The sequence below is a fragment of the Homo sapiens genome, chromosome 4 (genome assembly GCF_000001405.40).
Source record: "Homo sapiens chromosome 4, GRCh38.p14 Primary Assembly".
Taxonomy (NCBI): domain Eukaryota; kingdom Metazoa; phylum Chordata; class Mammalia; order Primates; family Hominidae; genus Homo; species Homo sapiens.
In genome coordinates this window covers 20,871,929-20,884,811 of record NC_000004.12, presented here as the reverse complement: position 1 = coordinate 20,884,811, position 12,883 = coordinate 20,871,929, and the positions used below count along the sequence as shown (strand labels likewise).

Genomic DNA, 12,883 nt, shown 5'->3' with positions numbered 1-12,883 from the left:
AGAGAATTGCTTGAACCTGGAGGTTGCAGTGAACTGAGATCGCGCCACTGCACTCCAGCCTGGGCAACAGAGTGAGACTCTGTCTTGAAAAAAAAAAAAAAAAAAGGCTGCACTGGGATACAGAAGTTGAGAGTTGGTGAACAGCTGACAAAACTGAGGGAACAGCACATATCCTGGCACGGAGGTTTGAAATGGCATAAAGGGGAGGAGCAGAGTGCCTGTGTAGGGAGCTAAAGTAAGACCCTCATGTCCTGGAGGAGTTTGCAAAGGAGAGGGTAGTTAAATCGTTGCATCCTTCCAGAAATGGAAATCAGAAGCAAAATATAGGGTGTGTTTTATGTAAACCAGATTTATTTTGCAAGTTTAAAAGAAGGGGAACATCACACACGGGGGTCTGTCAGGGGGTGGGGGTCAAGGGGAGGGAAATATTAAGGACATTTATAACATTTTGTCACCCCACTCTACACATACATGCGGAGCTTAAAACCTAGATGATGGGCTGATAGGTGCAGGAAACCACCAGGGCACATGTATACCTATGTAACAAACCTGCACGTTCTTCACATGTATCCCAGAACTTAAAGTAAAATTTTTAAAAAGCTTACTTAGATACTAATCTAGGAAATGAATCAAGTCTTCTTTAGATATCCAAAGTGAATTTATTTACTCATTTGCCAGGCATTTATTGACCTTCTGTTACATGCCAGACCCTCAACCAGCAGTTGAATGAGACATTTCATACCACATAAGTGTCAAGGCCAGAGGACGGCCTGCTTTGTGAGTTCTACCAAAGGCAAAAAGGGTAGTGTGGCCAATAGTGGATGGCCCAGAAAGCAGAGAGAGTGGCTGCAAATGCTGCCAGAGACTCAGACAGGGCCAGATCATACTTGGCGTCCTCGATAGAAAAACAACATGAAGCTTTTAGAGGGCTTTTAATCAGAGGAATGATCTTATTTAATTTGTGTATTTACTACTTCATTTTGTCATCCTACTCTACACACACACATGAGTTTTAGCCAGTGGATACTGTTGGTGGGTGCAACATATGATTTAGGAAACTAAATCAGTAGGCTTGTGGTCAGGAATTTTTTTATAATTCCAAGATAAGAACTAGAAAAGGAACAAGTGATACATTTGCCAGATTCCTGTTATAAAGATGGTAGAACCTCGATTTAAATTGTTTTCTGCGCTGATGCTTTATATTTGACACCTTGCATGCTGATCTCGGGGAGGCTAGTTACCTATTAACATGACATCCAAGTGTCTGAGACCTCAGGGTGGGTAAATTGATGCTGACTTGGATAGTTGGCTCCTGACATCAAAAGTTGTTTCAGCAGTTTGCAAGCTCACCCGTCCAGCCACTTTTGATTTTTCTTGAGTCATCTCCAGGTATCTGCTGTCACACATACTGCTCCGTCTATTCCTGGGTTAATGTTTGACAAGCTTGTCTGGCTTCTTCCAGAATTAGTCTGTTTGAAAAAGTTCCATTCATTAGCGTCCACATGTAAAAAATGGGAAAGATTGTCACATCTCTGGGCATGTCAGTATATGCTAATGAAGCTGCATATTAAGGACATTTATTTTCTCATTTTCAGGAAGGCAAAGGTACTAACAGGTGATTGTGGTGTGAATGATTTATGTGAAGCATCTATCTCTGCTATAATCAAAGATGGGGAGCAATAGCAGAAAATTGTCATGTGGGCCCTTAGCGCTGGTTTGAATATTGAAATTTCAATCCAGTTAACTCTTCTAGTGATACTTGTTTTATCCCTGATCTAAGGGCCAAAAAAAAAAAAAAAAAAACCACCAGATTTTTTTGGTGGCTTTTTTTAATCTTTTGCCGTTCAATAGATATATTTTACGATTCTGCTTTCACTTGTTCGTCATTATCTTCAAAACAACATTTAGAAATAAAAACAAAACTAAATAAGAAGAAAACAAACTTTTTTTTTCCTTTCGGGGGTCCCAACCCACTGCCTGTGATTGCCTGAGTGGATGGCTGCGTCCCTGATCCTTCCTGCCTGGCTTCTCTGATAAACCCTGCAGCACGTCCCTTTTCTCTCTGCAGACAGCATTAACAGAACTGATCCTGTATCTTCTAGGTTTCCTGTACGCTCAGAACAGCACCAAGCGCAGCATTAAAGAGCGGCTCATGAAGCTCTTGCCCTGCTCAGCTGCCAAAACGTCGTCTCCTGCTATTCAAAGCAAGTTTGTTTTTTTGTTTTTTTTTTTCCTCCGAAACTCTTGTTTCGTTTCTTTAGGCCTGCATGCATTGCCGTTCTCTACAAAGAATCAGTATATTCTACAAAAGCAATCTATTGATGTACTCATGTTTACCTAAATACCCAGGAGAACATTTGGGCAATTAGGAGTCATTTTCCATTTTGCAGACTGACAGCACAGTCTTAGTGACAGGAGCCTGTCCTGCAAAACACTGGGACATTTTTGTTTGATGTAAGGGATGGGGACTGGACTCAAGTAACTGTAGGAATTCCTATTGCTTGCCTTGTTAGCAGAGCAGCTGGACACTTTAACATATGACCTTGTACATTGTTTGACTCTCATCCACTGGGTCTATAATCCCAGTGGACACTGCCCAAATTCAGAAATATCACTAGATTAGAAAAAAGATTACAAAGTGTCATTTAAATAAACGTGACTTTTCTTCTTTGTTGATTCTTTCCCTGTATCAGTCAAGATTCTCTAGAAAAACAGAACCAATACATACTCATGTGCATACACATAAGCATATACATATCATATACATACATACACATGCATATACACACATGTACATATGCATATATGTAAAGAGACTTATTTGAAGGAATTGGCTCACACCATTATGGGGACTGGCATGTCTGAAATTCATAGAATATGCTGGCAGCTGGAAGTTCAGGAAGGATTTGATGTCACAGTCTTGAGGCAGGATTTCTTCTTCAGGAAGCCTCAACTGATTAGATGAGGCCCACCCACATTATTCAGGGTAATCTATGCTTAACTTAATGTCAACTGATTATAGATGTTAAGCACATCGACAAAATACCTTCACAGCAACACTTAGATTAGGGTTTGATTAAATCACTGTGTACTATAGCCTGCCGAACTTGACAAGTGAGGTTAACCATCACATTCTCCATCTTCTTTTTCTCTATTTTGTGGCATTCTTAAAGAGTAGAAAATAGAGGAATATCTAAAGGAAATCCTCAGCTTATTTTATAAAGATGCTATATAACTTAGAATATACATTGACAAATATTCTCTGTGTACAAACTTTCTTTTATACACAATTTTTTTCAAGCATCAAACAACTCTTAGAATCAGACAGAGAAGGTGGTGTTATTTGCTAGTGAGAAAATGCAACATTAAAAATCTAGGTGGAATTCCCTGAGTATTGGGGCTATAACCCACAGCTCCACCTACTCGCTTTTTATACTGCTACACCATTTTGTAGGAACTCATGGATTCAATTAGTGATTTAAAAATATGAATGCACTAAAATGTCATGGGTCTCCACAACACAAATGAGAAAATATGGAAAGAACCACAAACAACATAATACATTCAGTGAAAAGTCCCAGAATAGAATAGCAATTTGTTTCAATGGCACTGACCAAAGGTGATATATCATCATAATAAGATTTAATTAATTTGCTTATTCATTCAACAAATATTTATTGTATGTCACTGCCTGCTTCTTGTGCTGGGAGATGGAGCAGTGACTAAAACAGATTAAAAACCAAACCAAAACAAAACAAAACAAAGAAAGCTCTTCTATTAGAGCTTACATTATATTCTGTGGGGAGAGGAGGCAGAACTAAATAACTTTCGTTAGCACTAAGCCAATGCACATACAAAAATTAAAATTATAGTTTAGATACATTGCTGTGATTTTTTTCTTTCATTGCACACACATGCACACCATCTCACAAAACATAACATCATCAGCAACCTGGAAGACCATAATCTAGAAAAATGCCAGAGCCCTAATCCTACATGATATTGAAGCTGCAGGCACTTTTATTGCCACTATTTGTCAAAGATTGTTGGTTATTAGAGTCATTGCTTTTCTCCTTTCAGGTTGGAATCAAAATTGCCAATTTATTAGATATTTGCTGAAAATATAGTCATTTGTACACTGTAGATAGGTAAAATGTAACTTTCAAATGGATCTCTGTATTCACGTAGAGAAGTAGAAAATTGTCATGTCTCGTTAGCACTCTTCTGCACCAGCGTCTGATAAAGCCATGCCCCCAAATAAATGTTCACAGAGGATGCAATGCAATTTTCAACTAACTGTGAGGGAAAAGGATGTTTTGAGAGGAAAAAAAATAGAAAATACTAAAAAAATGATCAGAATCACTTTAAATACTAATGGGATTGTATAGTACTGGCTGATACTGAACCTACGCTAGACTTAGCTCGTGATTTGTGGACCCCATAAGACTCCTGCCTTCTCCTCTTCCTTTTTCGCCTTCTCCTCCAGGGTTGGAAAGGTGAATGGTTTATCATGTTTGCAAAAGTCTCTCATGTTCAGGACAGTCAATTTGGAAAGTGCAAAGAAAGATAAGAGCCCACACACACGTGCACGCCACACACACATAATCTGCTACCATGAAGTAACTACAAATAACTAGTAATATCTTTTTTCCCATCAATGTATATGTACTAATTATGTCATATCAATACCAAATTTTTATTATTTCATTTACATGATATACTTTCATAAATATCAGCCCTGCTATTAAAACTTTTTATAAAATCATTTTTAATGGCAAGCATAATACTACATTGCATAACTCTAGTATATTGTATTTGATCCCATTCTCTGCCTTTGGATATTTAGAGTTTTCCTCTTTTTACCTCCCACTCTCAATATAAATAGCACCATGATAAATGGCTTTGTGTATATATCTATCTATGCTTTTAAAATTACTTTCCCCTAAATTTTGAATTATTGGATAAAAGAACTGATTTATCTGAATGCAAGCTTCCCAATTTATATTAGAAAATTTTTCCACAAATTGGCCTTTCAAATGTTTTTCAGCAAAGCATACATATTTCTTCTTGAGTTCTGTTGTTATTTAGGCATAATATTCTTAATACTTCGAAATTATATACCTTTTATAGTCATTTGTTAAATACAGATTTAAACTATTAGTTCTGGTGTTTGTGCCTCAAACGAAAGCATTAAAAGAAGCAGCATATGACAAAGATTTTCTGCATGAAGAACCATAGACATTCTTAAATGTTTGAAAATTAAATGTATTTCTCATTTTTAAAATGTCAAAGGCAAAACTTCTAAGTCCCAAACTACTGTGTTAAATAAACCACATATCTTGACTTTGATGTTTGAGAAGACTATCAGACAAATATCAAAAAGCGCCATTGTCTTGGAAATGTACCAGGAAGCAACACACATGGCTTCAAGACAGGAGGTGACAGATCTATGCCATAGCCAATGGCCTTCTCCCATCGAGCTACCTGATTGGTAGTTGAGCAAGAGTAATAGATATCATCTAATGAGAATTAATTTAGGCCTTAGAATGTCTTCCACCTGACACTAGTATCGCCTCAACCAGAGTAAGAAATGAGACAGGGATAGAGTCAGCAGTACCTTGGCTGTGAACAAAGAATTGTCTTGTTCACATTTTTGGCCCATCCCACGATCCCCTAGGCAGTCAATTGCCCGCAGCTCTTTGAACCTCCATCCCAGGATGCGGATGAATGCACAGCCAGATGTAGTCTCCTAATCACCATCACTCTGTAGCACTCACTCTGAGCGTCTTATATCATTCATTGGCATCAAGAGCTGTCCAGTTGCTGAAGTCGGAATCTTCTCTCTGCTTAATGATCCCCCACCCACCATCTTAATGGCTACTAAACTCTGGTCAGTGTTCTCTCTGAATATCTTTTAATTTCACTTTTTTTTGTCTCTTTTGCTACAGCTCTGAGCCAGCTCAGACTTTTATGATCTCTTCCAAGAACTATTGAAAGAGGCAAAGAGGGGCATTGTGGGTTTTAGCATCATCCTGGCATGTGTTTGAATTCCTGTTGTGCCTCATACTAAACAAAATGCCTGTTTATTACTGTAAACTTATTTACATAAATTCTCCACCTCTTAATTTCGTTATTTGGTCATTCATTCCACAATATTTTTAGAGACCATATAGGGCAGGCATGATACTAGACACTCACTTTCTAGTGAAGAGTGGAACACAGTTTACTACCTTCCTGGAGCTTATGTAGGAAGAGAGAGAATAAACAAGAAAACAAAGGTAATCTGGGAAGTGATAAGTGTTATAGCAGAAGTAAACCTGTGGTAATATGATGGAAAGGGAATATATGCAGGGGACATATCTTGATTGGCTCAGAGAAAGCCTCATTGACAAGATGTCTTTTAAGTCCTTAAAATAAAAGGAAAGCCAGTAATGTGAAGGTCTGGAGAGAGTGTCCTAGAAGGAGGAAAGGGCCATGGTTTATTGGAGACAAAAAAGATTACGATTATCAGAAAATGGATTGTCATGGGAATAATCCATGCAAAGTATTTAGTATAGGAAATATCATGAGCATGAATCAATGACAAGTATGAACTCAGTTGATGTTCCCAACCACCTTCTGAGGTAGGTACATAGAATGACTAAAAAAACTGAGGCACATAGAAACAAAACAAATGCCCCAGTTGGCAGAGCTAGAATTCTGACTCCATAGCCTGCTGTCTTCATCACTTTAGCAGGCTGAGCTCCACTGATGACCTCTGATATTGATTGAGGGAGCTCTTATAGGTCTAGAGTAGTAGCTGTTTTTCCTAATGTAAATCTTTAAATTGGAAAAAAAAAAAGAGAGAGAGAAAACATTAGCTCTGGCCCTTTGCCTGCAGGAGGATAGGTTTTACCCAATTCACAATTGAGGTAGCTGTGGCCTGAAAAGGTTATAATGATTTGAGCAGAATCCCACAACTGAGAAGTTGAATAAACAAAAACTTATACCCAAAAGAACCTTACTCCAGTGATACAGATACGCTTACTGTCTGACTGCAAGATTTGAGACTGTCATACCCATAGAAGAAAACTTACTGGAAAAATTCAAGGAGAGGAAAAGAAAATTTCATACGGTTGGCACCCAGGAGAGCCAGTTGGACTACATGGTTTTTAAAGAAATAGTCATCACATTTTAAGTGATTTACAGCATATTATAACAATAGTAGTAATAATAATAGCCTACTATAAGGAATATAGGCTATTTTACATATGAGGAAACTGAAGACTAGACAAGGGAGATTATTTGCTCAAAATCACAGAGCTTCTGAAAAAAATCTGAAATCAGAAACTCAACTCCAAATCCAGTACTTTCCAACACTGAAATTCTATGATTCAGTATCAGTCAGGGTCCAGGAAGGAAAAAAAGGCATATTTAAATAGGGCAACAGGGGATAGTTGAATGAAGGGACAATTTGCAAAGGTATGCGCAGGGTTTATTGAGCCAATAAGGCTATGAAACATTCAGTGTTAGCAAGAACGAAAGTTACGATTTCTAGGTTGATGGTTACTAGAAGGTGGAAAAAGCCATAGCTATAGCTGTAACAATAAAAAAGGGCTCTGGTCCTTGGATAAGAAATGCAGCTATTGTCAACTCACCAAAGAGCGAGCCCAGATGATAAGTACCACAACCTCTCCCTTTTCCTCTTCACCCGTGGCCAAACCCAATGGGAAACCAGAAGGGCAAGGAGTCCAGATAATATTGTCCACAAAGGTCAGCCTTCCAGAACCATAGTAGCATTTAGAAAGAAGGAGGCTAAATGATGGAAGATGTTTTCCAGAGTCTGTAGATCTTAGGAGCCAGGTGTTGTGATCTACAGGATCAGCGACAATTCCTAGAGTCAGTCACACTAAGAGTCAGTCAGACTTAGAGTCACACTCCTCTTATAAGATTTCTTCATGGGCCAGGCGCGGTGGCTCACGCCTGTAATCCCAGCACTTTGGGAGGCCGAGGTGGGTGGATCACGAGGTTAAGAGATGGAGACCAGCCTGGCCAACATGGTGAAACCCTGTCTCTACTAAAAATACAAAAAATTAGCTGGGCGTGGTGGCACGTCTGTAGTCCCAGCTACTTGGAAGGCTGAGGCAGGAGAATCACTTGAACTCCACTCCAGGAGGTGGAGGTTGCAGTGAGCTGAGATCGTGCCACTGCACTACAGCCTGGCGACAGAGTGAGACTCCATCTCAGAACAAAAAAAAAAAGATTTCTTCCCAATTCCGTGGCATCTTGGAGGCTGACAGCTGGCTCGTGAATGTACATTGATATTGAGTAGCTATTTACAGGATTAAGGGATTTAGCTACTTTATGGATGACTTAATGTCAAGAAATTCCTAGCTACTATACTTTATGTAAGCACAAACACTTTTTTAAAGAAAGAATAAATGCTGTCAAGTCTCTGGCTATAACTCCTTATTGAATAACTCTGAGTAACTCACTTTATCTCTCTATGCCCCAGTTCTTTTACCAAAGAATAAAGTAGTCATTTTCCTTACTCATTCAATGGACATTATTTGACAAAAAGGCACTTACTAGATAATGGTCAGGAAATAATACAAAAGATAAAACATTCAACACTTGATTATCTGTATATTTGTATGTGTTCACATTTTTATCTAAATTTAACTCATAACAACATCTACCCAGCACTATCTCAGTGCCCTCATTCAATCAAAATAATTGATTCACTAAATTAGAGCTTCATTCCAGGGGTTTTTGTTTTTTATTTGAGCAGAAATGGGAGCATGAATATGACAAGGTTATGGTGAGACTAGACCACTCATCAATAAACCACCATCAGTACATTGCCTTGCATAACTGCAAAACATAATTTCCTAACTGTGTTTCAGGTTTTTGGCATGAAATATACCATAACATTTCAGTGTGTTTTGTTTTTCCCGGTAGCATATTGATCATAGAAATTTTTAGATGCTCTGTTGGCAGAGAAACCATCAGCATTTGGCTGTTGGAGGATTTGTTTGCAAAAAGCAACTTGAATGGCCAACATGTTGCCCATTAAAAATACAACAGTAACCTCCAGGATTTTTTTTTTAATGTTTAACCTCTGACAGTTAATTAATCTCATGCTAACTCCTTGGTGAATTTAGCTAAAGGCTCTGACCTAGGCATGTAGTCAGGAAAATCTGTGGAAGAACAGAGGCATAACCCATGTTAAATGTAAATTTAATATTTACGTATTTCTTAATAGAAAGCAAGATTCATTCAATTTCATTTTAAGCCCTAAAAGTGTCATGTTCAAACCCTCAGATGTTATTTTTATCTATTTAACAAACATTTAGAACTTACTATGTGTCTGGTACAGTTTTAAGTGGCTTGCACAGTATAACTCATTATATCCTAAAAATAACTCTGTAAGGTGGACAGGATTATACCCATTTTACAGAATAGGAAACTGAGGTATGAGGGATTATTTAATTTCTGAATCACATCATCAGCAAGAGGCATGGGAGTAGGGGAAGAGATTGAACACAGCAGTGGAGCTGCAAAGTCTCTGTACTTTACCAATTCTCTAGTTACGTTCAACGTTCTGGTCAGTTTTACAAAAAAATATGACTAGATCTTTTTCCACTTACCTGCTCAACATGGGACCGTCATACACAGCACATATTGTGCAGGAAGATGGTGGTAGCCCCTTGAATGAGTTTTTTTTTTTTCCTTCTCTCTGGGCCTTTCACCATCCACGAATAAGAAGTAGAGACTGTGCCCAAGTCTCTTTCCAGATCTAGCATTGCAGCAGCCATTGAGACGGCATTATTTCTGGCTGTGACAAATGGTGGAGGTTTCAAAGCTAACACAGATTTCCTCCTTTTGTGGTACTTCACTGTCCATGAAAGGCAGAACATGGGAAACATTAGAAACTCCATTTAACCCTGCTGTAATACCAATTGGCCCTATCGTTCAGATATTGGCTATATGTTTTACCTATTAGAATATTTGTTTCTTACACGTGTATGGGCTTTTACAAGTTTTAAAATTCTTTCTTTTGAATATTTCATTTTCATAAAACCCCTTTGATAATGGCAGATCACAAGGGTTATAATCTCTATCTTCCAAACTAAAAAAAAAAAAAAAGAGATGAAGTGGCTTGCCCAAAGTCACATTGATACTTAGTGAAAAAAGGAAAATTGCGGGTTTTTTTTCCTGGTCCATTATATATCTACCAGAAGTTGTCATTAAATCATTCACAGGTTTTAGTATAGGAAAGCTAGAGGTAGGAGTGTCAGGACACCTGTTTTCTGTTGACAAATTTAATGAATTTCACTTCAATATGGCAGACATTTATGGAACACTATTTGAAAAGCAATAGTTCCAGGCACAGGGGAACACTCAGATCACTACATCTGAAGACTAACATTGTACTGAAATAAACAGACACATATGTAGATCTAAGACACAACGAATACAAGTAAAGTGCTGTGAATGCTGTGAGAGGCAAAACTAGAGAGATACTAGAGTTAAAAAGTTGAACGTGATAACTCTGGGATTAGCCTATTTGGTTCAAATCCTCATTCTGTGACTAACTAGTTATAGAAACTTTAGTTAAGCTACTTATCCCTTCTGGGCCTCAATTTCCTCATCCATAAGGTAGAAATGATAGTAAATAATCTGTAAGTTTGCTCAAAGGATTAATGAGCATGTAAAGTGTTTAGAACAGTTACTGGCTAATACATGGTCACTAAATGTTGGCTGTTTTTGCTGTCATTCTCCTGCTACTACGATGATCACAACTACTGTAGTGATACTGGTGAAATTCAATCTCACCTAGGTGCATTTCACAAAGAGTTAATATTTCAGCAGGGCCCTCTGGAGAAGAATCATCATTTCATCAGAGGGGAAAAAAAGGAGGAGCATTCTAGGTACTTCAAAAGATAAAGCTTAGCCAGTCAGGAGGGGCAAGAAGTATGAAAGAGAAGCAGCCAGCAAAGTGATCTGGGGCCAGATTTTGAAAACTTTCCTGGGCACTATGCTGCATTCACTCTGCAGAGAGGCAATGGGGATTTTAAGTTAGGTTTTTAAGTTGAGGAGTGATTTTTCATCTTGTCTGGCACTTGGGGATGGCTGGTCAGCCAAGAGTAGAGGGAGCTAGATATGTGCCAAATTTTAGAAGGGATGATGTGAACTTGAAGTTAGAGAAAAGACTAGCAAAGGATCAAGAACAATATTTGAAGACAAGAGACAGACAGGTGTCAAAACTAATAACCAAACTTAGTGGGATATTGGCTTCTGAATCAATGAACCAACTGAAACTCAGTGGTAAAATAACACCAAAAATAAGTCAGAAGACAAATTGTTGAGAGAGAAAGAGAAAGACGACAAGAAAATTAGTTGGAAACTGCTTGAAAAGTCTGTGCAAGACAGTATCAATAGCTAACACTTGAGCATAATGCTATTTTAAGCCTGAACAATTACTCTTAATATTTACTGCAAGTCTGTGAGGAAGGTACAATTACAACCTCCACTGAAAAGAGAAAACTAAACAAAGAAATTAAATCACTCACCCAGCACCTAACAATTATGACACATCAAAGCAGGGATTTTACCTTCAATGGCATAATACCAAAGCTTAGTGTCTTTACCACTAGACTGCCCTGCCTACAAGAGATGACAAAAGTCAAAACATGGCAATCGTGGTGGAAGGGAGAGGATAAATTTGAAACACATGGTGGAATTGTGCGTAATTGGAAATATTGAAAAACAATTTGTGATATTGAGTGAAAGATAGGAAAGAGATGAAGTGACTCCACCAAAATGATAATGGTGAAATTTATCAAGATAAGGAACATAGAGGGAAGGCCATGAAGGTCAGTTAGGGAGAGATGGTAGTTTTATTTTAGACATCTTGGCTTTAAATACTTGAATAACACAAATTTTTGAAACAAGAATTAAACAAGCTTAGTTTTTGATTAGTGCATCTTTTGTTTTTTTCAGGTTACCTATGTGATTAAGTCTTTTGCTTCCCACTTGATTTTTCCACTTTTGTTACTGTTAATTTGGGCCAGAATGGGTAGAATGATGACTACTTACAAAACACTGTGTAGACTGTTAGATAAATGAGAGCCTTCTTTGTTTTATGTAATATTTTCATAATGGTAACCAAGGTAGCTTCTCGTAGGAGCTATACAACCTATTTTCCATTTTCATTGGCCTAAAAAGTAATATTTGAGCTAAACATGAGTCTGGTCGATGAGTCTGGTTTCTGCTGAAATGGGAACCTAATTCTTCAAAGAGCCTCAATTTTCTACTCCACCAGGTCTATAAAATACAGAGCATTGTTTTTTTATCTGCTTAGATTGCAGGGTTCAAGTTTAGCCTTCTTACATTTCAAATTGCCTTTTGCCAAGGGTTTTGAAGCACCAAGTGTGACAGGCAGCAATTCTTGATGGTAATATTGGTCCATCTTTATTTGTAAGGTTTCATTAAAAAGAGGAAGTAGAAGAACAAAAGATGAGTTCTGGAGATGAACTGACAGTATAAAACCTTATTTATCTTTCAGCAAACCATTCTCCTTTGAGGCTGGGGAGAAAAACAATCCCATAGCATATTACAGTGTTTTCAGACTCTGCTTAGAGGTGGACATATTCTTCATTGAGTGTTCCTGAGGATATTAAAAATCACATTTATTTCAATAGCAGTGTGAAACTAATGCTTTAGGTGAGCAGATGTTAGAAGGATCAGTGTCAAAATCATCATATCATTACAGAAATCCTGTATGTGGATTCATCGCTATGATATACCACACACTATGAAAGATTATACTCTAATGGGAGAAATGGAGCAGAGTCTGGACAGTAAATTTTCATGCTTTGTTTTGCAAAGCATTTTTCCT

The 12,883-nt window shown here is 37.9% G+C and overlaps 1 protein-coding gene across 8 annotated transcripts in view; it reads left to right on the top strand.

Moving 5' to 3' along the window:
• KCNIP4 (potassium voltage-gated channel interacting protein 4) overlaps positions 1-12,883 on the top strand; it is a 1,220,167-nt gene that overhangs the window by 1,063,961 nt on the left and 143,323 nt on the right. The window contains exon 2 of one of the 8 annotated variants that reach the window (NM_025221.6): positions 2,103-2,204. The exons of the other annotated variants lie outside the window; for them this stretch is intronic. Within the exon in view, the coding sequence (NP_079497.2) occupies positions 2,103-2,204 (102 nt within the window). The remainder of the gene's footprint in view (positions 1-2,102; positions 2,205-12,883) is intronic. 8 annotated transcript variants of the gene reach the window in all.